Consider the following 11,560-nt stretch of genomic DNA (forward strand, 5'->3'; position numbering starts at 1 on the left):
GAAATAAAGCTTTTGCTGGATATTTTACCACTGCCAAACACTGTTTTCACATTACCATTCAGATAGTAGTCTCATCGTGATCTGCTGAATGATTCCACACCAACACTTTTACTCAGGGTCTGCTTCTTGCAAGCCACACTCAGGTACTAACTTCTGCATTACTTTATTTATTACTTTAACTTATTTGAATACCATGCACCAGAAAACAATTGTGAATAAAATAAGGGGAAAATTTGCGTGAAGAGGACTTCTTGGAAAAGTTTTTGGGTTGATCAGAAAATCAAGAAAACAGCTAAAGAATCAACCCCTGAGCAAGGAAAAGGAGAGATCTCAGAATCTCAGCAGCAAGAGTTTGACATTCTTCTCCTTTTTAGATTGTCATGAACTGACTCAACTCTAATAGCCTTCTATACACTCCTTGTGTGCAGTACCACAATTTTCAAATTTCTGAAAGACAATATATATTTGACACAGCATCAGCCATATGTTTGTACTTGTAGGAAGCATGTTGTAGACATAAAATAATACTACCAACTTGGAGAATTTACAGAACTCCACCATCCTTCTGTCTTCCTCCTTCATTTCAATTGGTTGTCAGGTCTTATACTATATATTTTAATTATACCATCTAACTACCTTTTAGTTACGTTATCTCTTCTTATAGTCATGGGATGAGAAGTGTCATCCATCTTTTATCATTTCATCTTCCAGTCAAATTTCCACTGGCTTCATTGGCACAACATCTACAAAAGTATGTATAACATCGTGATCTCAAAAACAAACAACACAAATTAAAAATCAAACAAGCAAACATCTCTTGACCTTGCCTGTGGTGCTTTTCAAAAGACTGGGAAGTGGAAAAAGGGGACGTTCTGTGCTGAGGGTAAGAAAAAGCAGAGGTAATGAAGTATGACAGTATGAGATTTATTAGGAGGAAATATGAATATCAAATTATTGGTATTCTACTTAAGACTATGAAGAACAAAAGTGGATAGACAGGGAATCACAGGGGAGAGTGCCTCCTGAAATTTTATAACAAAAGCTGCATGGCACCTTAGCCATTCAAAAAATATATTCAGGTTTGTTATCCATAATAATTGAAGTAGGCCAATAGTTTTCAAAGTTCAGTTCAAAGTTTGGTTCAGTTAATAGTTTACTCTGCTTCATAAAATATAGAATTCCCTTCTCATCATCAGCGACTTCAAACCACAATGCCTTTTTAGGGCCAAGAAATGGAGCTATATAATAAACACTGCACAGATTCTGGAACAGGCTCTCTGGAGACAAAAGACTGAGAAAAATTCAGAAGTACTATCAGAAAATTGTCAGTCACAGGTTTAAATGGATGTGATGAAACTAGTTATGACTTAGTGGCTACTGATGGCTTATCATGCATTTTTTTAATGGAAAATGTCTTTCCTCCAGAACTTTAAAATTTGGAAATATTCATATACTAATATATTTTATGTAATAATATTAGAAGAGGAAGAACCTATATTCACATATTAATTATCATTTTTCTCACAAAGAAATAGAGATAAACCAAGACTAAGACATGGTCCCAAGATCACACAGCAATTAAGATTCAGTCCTTATTTACTATTCATTTCATTCTCTGAAACTGCAATTATATTTGCTTTCAAAGAATGTTCCAGAAAAATATAAGTGTAGAAAAAGAATAATATAGACATTAATTTCACTAAATAATATAAGCATTTTTTTTTTCTTTTTCTATCAGCTGAAAGCAGCCTAGGAGTGTTAATCCTCTTGGTGTTTCTCAACCAGACTCTTTTGCATGATAAAACAATTTTACTCTCATTGGTCTATTCTAGCATTTAAGTTAATTTTCCAACCATCTAAATTCCAAGTGTGCACCATAGAGGTTGAGCTTTTCTATCCATCTGCTACACCAATACCGTCCAGTCTATGCCAATGATTGAAGGGTATAAAAAAAGGGCCGTGTGGTCGTTTCAGTTTTGTTTTGTTTTGCAATGCAGACGCACTTGGAGCAGCAGGTCAATGAATTCTGGGAACTGCATCTTTTTGACACATGAGACCTTTGCAGAATGAATCAAAGTTAAATCCCATGAATAAATGCTAGTGTTTAATAATCATTCCGTTTATGGAAGCTTTATTGTGAATTCATAAAAGCAAGGACAATATTTCCTTGCAAGTCCACAAATCACCATCATAAGCAAGGCAATCGTGAATAAACTGAGCTGGACTGCATAGCCTCTTTGGCAGTTGCTAGTATTTAAATATGGATGGGAGAAGCAAAGACTAGGAGAAGTTGTCCTAAAGCAAGCAAATGACAGCTCCCACAAATAAAGGGAAAAATGTTAAAACAATAAACAAAAGAGAAACAATTACTTGCTCATTACAAACATGTCATATTGCATTCTTTATTTTGATTGTGGAAAATTAGCCATTGACTACCAGGAACAATTGATTTTCCTTCACAGCTGTTTTCTAATTACATCTGAACACTGAAAATTCTAGTGCAGCCATTCAGCTGTACAAAGAGAATTTTCTTTTATTATTTTTGCTATTGCTGCAAGCTCTGCCCAGAAGCATGACTATAGTTAGATGATCTGTACTGTATATATGTGGTGTTTGTATTAAAAGCCATGCTTTTCAGGGATGTTATAAGAACTCAAATATTTTAAATTACATAGGGCAGAACTTGGTGTACAAGCTGTTTTGCCCAGATGCTATTACGTAGCTTTCTCTTTCTTTTTGCCATCAAAACAAGGAAGAAGATAATGAAGATAGCTTAAATCGGTACATCCGTTTCTTAGTCACTGCATAGTCGTCAATTGGATCTATTTTTGTCATTGTGGCTTCTGATGAGTGTTTTGGCACAGTCTTACTGGGAGGGTGGAGGGTGATGGGCAGTTTCCTGTCAGTTAATTCTGTGGGTAAATTCTAAGCAAAGAGCATGGAGATTATTAACAGGCAGGATTCCAAGGTTTCAGAGAAGCAATTGAAATTTTTGGATGCTTCTCTTCAAACGCTTTAGAATTTTCCTCAAAATGATTTCAGTTTTAAAATATGGCCAGAAATATGAAACTTGCCCTTGGGAGTTTTCTAGGACTTGCGGTTAGTGAGTTCTGGAAAAATAGTTAAGATACTTCCTTCAGAGTTTAGGGTCTCTGATTAATCTTTACCATAATTTAGGTGAAATCAGCTCAGCAATGTTAACAATTCAGCAAAAATAAAGTGAAACCTTAAAATGTTTTTTTTCCAATGGAAAAAAAAACACAACATTTCAAGCCTGGGTTATTAAAGCAAAAACTGGGAGCTCTTATTTATTTACTTATTTATTTTAATTTTTTTAATTTATTTTTATTTTTTGTAGAGACAGGGTCTCACTATGTTGCCCAGGCTGGTCTACCACTCCTGGCTTCAAGCGATCATCCTTCCTCGGCCTCCCACAATTCTGGGATTACATACGTGAGCCACCACACCCGGCCAGCTCTTTGTTGCCATTTATTAAATATTTGCCCTCTTTAGAGGTAACTTTAATCAGGTATCTGTTCACTGGATGGCAATTTTTTAAGTCTTTGATCAAAACTCTAACCTCTGTAGTTCCTGTAGTAACGCAGTGTAACTTGAAATTTGCCATTTTACTTGGAAGGCTCAAAGATTCCTCAATGGCCCATCTTATTTTAGTATTTCCTTTGCCAAGATTAAGATTGAGGTGATGATTGTTTAATTAAATTAAATTTGGCTTGAGGCTGTCTCGGTACCGTAGGTCCCTACATAACAAACTACAATTTAACTAAACAAACTGAAAGCCTAATTTAGGAGTATATATTGTAACAAATTGCTAGGTCTCAGCCAGTCACAGCCGACTAGCTTCAGCCAATCACAGGCTGCCAATTGATCAGACCATGTCCAAACAAGTAAAAAATGCTAAGCTGTAACCAACCAGTTTCTGTACCTTACTTTCATTTTCTGTCCATATGTACTGCCTACCTACTTTGCAGAAGTGAGATCTCTGAACCACTCTGCTGGCTCTTGAGAGCTACTGGATTCCCAAATAATTCTCTGCTTCATTAAACTCCTTTAAATTTGTCTAAAGATTTCCTTTTAATACATTTCATCTCATTTTTATTTTTCTAAATTTTGATAACTTTCATTGACTTTTATCATAAAAATCAAGTCTAATACAAAATAAAACAATATAAAAATAAATGTATTGAAATTATATCAATTTTATTTCCTGACATATTTTCTTGATTTATATCATTACAAAAGATAAAAACTATCAGCATGGAGTTTTGAAACCATAAAAAATTTTTTTGAAAGAATGAGGAAAAGCAGCAAGAACTTTGGGTGTGATGGAGGTATGTGGTTAATTTAATAGGACTGATTTTTTTTTTAATTCTGGGATTTTTCTCACATAACCATATAATCTATTTGAAAACCAGATATTTACTAGAAGAGAGTGGCAAATATCCACTACTGAATAGATAAGAGTTTAGACATTAAAACTGAAAGCACTCTTAAGTATTTTACATGTAAAGAGGTTTAAGACACAGAACTAGTGGCCAATAAAACTGCTGAGAGGTGGCAAAATGACAGTCAGAAAAGCTGCTTTCAAGATATTTTTAAGTGAAGGAATCTCAGGAAGCCATTAACAATTATTTTAGTTGCCTACCACACCTAAGAAGATGATTCTCAGGAAGATCTCCAAAATCAATGGGCAAAAACCCATGTCTGCCATTTGTCAAAGCCCACACATTTATCCTCAGCCATGGCATGAGAACAATGGCTTCTGCTCTTCTACAACACCAAGAAATTTTCTCTTATCACTTAGATACAACTGAACCCCAATGGCAATGAAGCTTGTTTCCAGTCTTTATGTCCCTGTGAAATAAGAAACAACTTACAAATTTAGAGATGATAATACAGCAACAATATCTGAAAGAACTACACTTGAACACAAGAATTCAAACCCTAAAAGTAATAAAGTAATACCAATAATGATGTTATTTCACATACAGCTGTTCAATTGGATAATCACTGAATTGTCCTTACCGTTTAATTTATTTTTCTCCAGACTTACTCTATATGAACTATTCAACAATAGCAACAAAATAAATCAATAAATAATAAACAAGAGAGGTGAAGAATAATATCATGTGATTGATTTTTCTCTTCTTGAGAGCTTGTTTGGAAGTTCTAGCAGGGAAGCCCATCTACTCACGTGCCCTTGACTGAAGATGGGTCCTTCTCCATCGCGGATGGTCATCCTCTTTTACCGAGCACACAGCTTTGGAAGGAACGCATATGGAGTGGTGAGGAAGGAAGGGAACACCTGTCTAGTCAACCAGATCTGCTGCACCAACCCTGGCAATCAAATGGTTGATAGATGTTGCTCTTAGATTGCCCTCATATCCATAATTTTTCTCTTCTTCTTCTTCTTCCTTTTACCAAAACAACTACAACAACAACAAAACAAATAACTTTAATTTTGAAATGGCATTATGAGAAAAGGGTTCTGTATCGTGCTAATCCTTTTTTTTTTTTTTTTTTTTTTGAGACAGAGTCTGGCTCTCTCGCCCAGGCTGGAGTGCAGTGGCGTGATCTCGGCTCACTGCAACCTCTGCCTCCTGGGTTCAAATGATTCTCCTGCCTCAGCTTCCTGAGTAGCTGGGATTACAGAAGCTCACTACCACGCTCAGCTAATTTTTGTATTTTTAGTAGAGACGGGGTTTCACCACGTTGGCCAGGCTGTTCTCGAACTCCTGACCTCATGATCCGCCCACCTCAGCCTCCCAAAGTGCTGGGATTACAGCTGAGCCACCACACCCAGCCTGTGCAAATACTTTTTATGAGGAAATCATAGAAAAAGTATCTGTTAGTTGACAGGCAGTATCCATATTACAGTGTTTGGTTTGAGCACTTGAGTTGTTCTGAAGCTAGGTTACCATGAAAATAAATACAGTGATACTTGGAATCAGAGAACACATATGGTCAGCATTTTCCAGATGGCATATTTATGTCAAATGTATAGACATTATAAGAAAAAATATTATAAGTCAATATTAAGAAGACTCTCTAAATATTTAGGTAAATACAATGCACTGTTCCCTCCGCCCAGAAATAGAGTATGATCCTGGCACCTTGCCAAGAAACACATAGAAATATCCTTGTACGTTGTGCTTATAGTAGATAATCTGAAAAGTTTCATCCAAATCTTAAATTCTAGATATGAATAGTTTGTAATAAAGTGTTAGAAGGATCAAGATTAAAAATTATTTGCATATGGTTCCCAACGCCTCTTAGTAATCAGTGGATGATAAGTTCCTTGTAACTTATTTTAATAAAAAGTCTTGAGTACAGAATGTGAGTATATTATAGACTAAATATTTATATTCCTTCCCCCAGATTCATATATTGAAGGCCTAACTGCCAATATGACTGTATTTGTGTATTTGGGGAAGAAGCCTCTACAGATATAATTAAGGTTAAATAAGATCATTAAATTGGGACACTAATCCAATAGAAATAATGTCTTTATAAGAAGAAACACCAGAGAGAAAAATAACTTTCTCCTCTCTCTCACTCTCTCTCTTTCTCTCTCTCTCTAGCTGTCTCTCCAGGAGGACACAAAGAAAAGATCAAGACAGCATGTAGCAAATGTAGCAAGGAGGCATCCAATCATCTGCAACCCAAGGGGCAAACCCTCGCCACACACCAACCCTGCTGGCTCCTTGCTTTTGGACTTCCAGTTTCAGAATTATGAGAAAATACATTTCTGTGTTTAGGCCATCAAGTCTATTGTATTTTGTTCTGACAGCCTGAACAGACTAATACACAGTATAATACAATTGAATTGTTGATTCATCTAAGAAATATATAATTTCTACATGGTTTGTTGCAATTATCTGGGAATAAATATTACCATGACCACTTATTCAGAACTTGATATCTGTATTTATTTCTAAGCATGCATATAATCCCATTACTTGGTAGTCATTTGAATGTATGTTCCACACTTACACCAAAAAGTGATAATAGTATTGACTTCATATAAGAAGTCTTGATAGTCAGTAGTATTGACTTCACATAAGAAAATATTATAAATTAATTCCAATTCCAATTTATGAAGATATTATAAATTTAATATCTCTGAATGTAAATTCTCGGTTGTTCTAGATATAAAAATAAATTATTGATTTATTTTGCTAAGCTACTATAAAACACAATAAAATTTAAAAGCCTCAATTTTGCTGATTGTTTACTATTACAAATCATGCTGGAATGGACATTCTCATATTCTGTTTAGTCTTAATCCTTCCCCCACCAAATCCAATGGAGTCAAGGATTTGGACACAGACACTTTATTTTGAAGTTGATCCCAGGCACCAAAAATGAGAAAAGAAAGAAAGGGAAATAGGTAAGAGAAAAGGGGCAATAAAGTTACGTCTTAACAAGCTTGAGTACCACAGTTAACAACTGAGTCACAATCCCACTGGGGATTGTAAGGAACATACCTTGGGTTAGTTCTACCCCAGTACAAGGAAGCTACAGGATTTAGCCATTGCCTTTTAGCCCCAATTGTTGAGGATTTCCCTTAAGTAGTGTTAACACAGGCACATACTGAGTGTTCCTGTGTCCAGCATTTCTATCTCATTTGTTTTCAGAGAAACGGCTTAAGTGGAGAAGGGTGATGCAGAAACAGGAAGTTACAGTCTAGCAGCAGGTCAGTAGCTGTTTAAAGGAGCAGTAGGTGAACTCATCAGGCCAAAGGGACAGGGAGCATTTACTAAATTTGCACATATGTAAGAGTTTCTCTAGTGTACACATTCAGTAATGATTTCATTACTGAGCTGTCTATGGCTGTTTCTTCAACCTTATAAGATATTGCTACATTGCTCCTCAAGGTTGTGCTGCCCAAAGACAATCCTGCCAAAATAATGAAATGTTCCAGTGGTGTAAAATTTTTATCAGTATATATATAATGGTTATATATATATGTGTGTGTGTGTTTGTGTGTGTATATATATATGGTTAAAATAATATTTTTATCAAATATGTATATACAATTTATGATATAAATTATAAATTATGGTAAAATTATATATTATTATAAACATACATTATAATGTATTATATACATAATTTATATATATATAAAAACCATTTTTGAGGCACTGTTTTTCTTATCAATCCATTAGTTCTTAAACTTTAAATTTTCAGTGTCTTTTCTATATTTTTATTTATTTGTTTTCTGTGCATATTGATTAATTAGATGTGGGGAAGACTAGTTGGGTGTTTTTAAAAATAATAATTCTAAACACATAAGCAAATTGAGAAAAAAATCAGTATTCTTAGACTTTTATAAGTAAGCATATCAGGTAAAGGTTGACCCACAGTTAAACATTTTAGGTCTTTTAGAAAACTCCAAGTAAAAGTTAGATAATTTATCCCTCAGAATTAGATAAGTAATTTTGCCTGTCATGATTATAAATCTGTGCATTGAAATATTTTGACTTTTTATTTGCTAACCCAATGTGACTTGGTCCGCTTTCTAGTGCTATAACAGAATACCATACCTGGGTAATATTTATGAAGAAAAGAAGTTTATTTTGTTCAAGTTTCTGGAGACTGAAAAGTGCAAGAGCATGGTGCTGGCATCTGGCTAGGGCCCTCCTGCTGCATCATCCCATGGCAGATAGGCAGAAATGCAAGAAAGCAGACAAGACAGAGAAGGGGCCAAAATAACTAACCCACTCTCATGATACAGACCTAATTTATTCATGAGGGAAGAGCCCTTATGACCTTATTGAAAGTTCCCACCTTTTCAATGTTGCTGCATTGAGGATTAAGTTTTCAACACACAAACTTTGGGGGATGTACTAAAACCACAGCACAAGGTAACATATGTGTTAACTTACAGTGTACATTATAGAACTCTAACCATACAGGGTTCTTAGGATTTTAAGTAACAAAGTCATTGGACAAAACCACTTCATTTCTACATTTTTAAATAGCCTTACAGAAATCTAGAAAAGATAAATGCTATAATACACCTAAACGTGATAATTTTTAGCCTATTTATTTATTTATTTATTTGAGACAGAGTCTTGCACTGTTGCCTGGGTTGGAGTGCAATGGCATGATCTTGGCTCACTGCAACCTCCGTCTCCTGGGTTCATGCAGTTCTCCTGCCTCAGCCTCCCAAATAGCTGGGATTACAGGCACACACCGCCATACCTAGCTAATTTTTTGTATTTTTAGTAGAGATGAGGTTTCACTATGTTGGCCAGACTGATATCGAACTCGTGACCTTGTGATCTGCCCGCCTTGGCCTCGCAAAGTGCTAGGATTACAGGCATGAGCCACCATGCCCGACCTAGCCTCTTTATTTTTAAACAGTTTTAGATCTACAGAAAAATAGAACAAAGAATTCCAATGTAAACTTAAAAGCTTTCCATAATGTGAACACCTGAGCAGAAAAAACAAACTCAGTTTCTCTTACTATACTCTCACAACATGCTTCTGACACCATATGCAAAGGGCAAAGCAAGCAATCAATTCTACAGCAGGCCCTCGCTGGGTGTCCTCCAACCCAGCTCAATTCCCACACTCTCTACCTGGAGGTGGTGCCAGATCCCATCGGTTGAGGACTCAGTTCCACAAGACAGCCCCTAATTTCTGACAGCAATCATAAGCCCTGGGTTATTTTGCCTCTCCTTCTGACTGACTGTAAATCAGGTTTACCATATCCCCCAACTCGGGTTCAGTTAATTTACTAGAGCACTCACAGAACTCAAGGAAACATTCTCTTACATTTACCAGTTTGTTACAAAACATGTTTTAAAGGATGAAAAAAAATCAGATGAAAAGATACATAGAGCAAGGTCTAGAAGTATCCCTACTGCAGGAACTTCTGTCCCATGGAGGTGGGGTGTGCTACCCTCCAGGAACTTCACCATGTTCAGCTATCCAGGAACCCCCATTAGTCAGCTATCCAAAAGCTCTCGAAACCCTGTCATTTTGGGTATTTATGGAGACTTCATTACATAGGCAAGATTGATTAAATCATTGGCCATTGATGATCAACTTAATTTCATCCCTTCCCTTGTGGGTAGGGTGTGAGGCTGAAAGTCCCAATCCTCTAATCCTGCGTTCAGAGGCGTGTGAACAAGAGCAACTCCATCTTAAATAGGATCTGGGTAAAATGAGGCTGAAACCTAGTGGGCTGTGTTCCCAGATGGTTAAGGCATTGTAAGTCACAGGATGAGATAGGAGGTCAACACAAAATACAGGTCACAAAGACCTTGCTGATAAAACAGTTTGCAGTGAAGGAGCTGGCCAAAACCCACCAAAACCAAAATGGCAACAAGAGTGACCTCTGGTTGTTCTCACTGCTACACCCTCACCAGCGCCATGATGGTTTACAAATGCCATGGCAATGTCAGGAAGTTACCCTATATGGTCTACAAAGGGGAGGCATGAATAATCCACTCCTTGTTTAGGATATTATCAATAAACAACCGTAAAAATGAGCAATCAGCAGCCCTCAGGGCTGCTCTGTCAATAGAGTAGCGATTCTTTTATTCCTTTACTCTCTTAATAAACTTGCTTTCACTTTGCACTGCGGACTCACCCTGAATACTTTCTTGCATGAGATCCAATAACCCTCTCTTGGGGTCTGGATGGGTACCTCTTTTCTGTAACACTGCTTTGTTCTTTCCAGTGAGCAGCCCCCATCCTGAAGCTACTTAAGAGAGATGCCAGCCTAAATCAACATATTAGCATACAAAAAGATACTGGTCACATTAAAGTTTCCAACAATTTTAGTAGTTATATACCAGGAAACAGTACAAAGACCAAGTATATATTTCACAATAGCACAACATATTTCATAGCCATACTACATTTATCAAAAGTAAGAAATTAACATTGGTGCAATAGTATTAACTAAAGTTGGTTCAGAACTTACAAGTTTTCTAATGCCCTTTTTCTTTTCCAAGATTCTGTCCAGGATACCACATTACATTTAGTCATCATGTCTCCTTGGTCTCCTCCAGTCTATCTCAGTTTCTCAGACTTCCTTGTTTATAACTATCTTAAAAGTTTTGTCTATTTTCCATGACTAGTCTAAGGTTACTATGGATTTAGGGGAAAAGTTTCATAGAATTGAAGTTTGGTTTATTTTTTTCTTCCCTCATCTCCTGATAACAGGGATATCTTATCACTCATAATGTTAATTTTGAATATTTGATTAAAATGCTATTTGTTAAAATTTTCACTATAAACTACTGGATTTCCCTTTTCATATGCTATTTGATAAATGCTAGTCTTTAAATCCAACCTAATCTCAAGGGTAGGGAAATTAAGCTCCAACTCCTGGAAGGAGGAGTATCAAAGAATGTATAGACATGTATATAAAATATCACAACACTTATTAAATATTATGAGGAAGATATCTTGAAGCTATTTAACTATCTTCTTTCTTCTTAATAGTTTGTCAACTAATTTAGCATTCATCAGCAGATCTTGCTTGAAGCAATGACTATGATTTCCTAATGACTATTTTCTT

The 11,560-nt window shown here is 36.0% G+C and overlaps 1 pseudogene, besides 2 other annotated features; it reads right to left on the bottom strand.

The window, feature by feature from the left end:
* Positions 2,615–2,754: an enhancer, noted in NCBI's record as "active region_25175". NCBI's record gives its function as "activates an Ori minimal core promoter by ATAC-STARR-seq in GM12878 lymphoblastoid cells {active_cell/tissue: GM12878}" and the evidence as "EXISTENCE:reporter gene assay evidence [ECO:0000049][PMID:35858748]".
* RN7SKP106 (RN7SK pseudogene 106) lies at positions 5,134–5,405 on the bottom strand (annotated as a pseudogene).
* Positions 7,592–7,792: a silencer, noted in NCBI's record as "peak6162 fragment used in MPRA reporter construct". NCBI's record gives its function as "represses an SCP1 promoter by STARR-seq MPRAs in K562 erythroleukemia cells {active_cell/tissue: K562}" and the evidence as "EXISTENCE:reporter gene assay evidence [ECO:0000049][PMID:32103011]".

The sequence above is a fragment of the Homo sapiens genome, chromosome 6 (assembly GCF_000001405.40).
Source record: "Homo sapiens chromosome 6, GRCh38.p14 Primary Assembly".
Classification (NCBI taxonomy): Eukaryota; Metazoa; Chordata; class Mammalia; order Primates; family Hominidae; genus Homo; species Homo sapiens.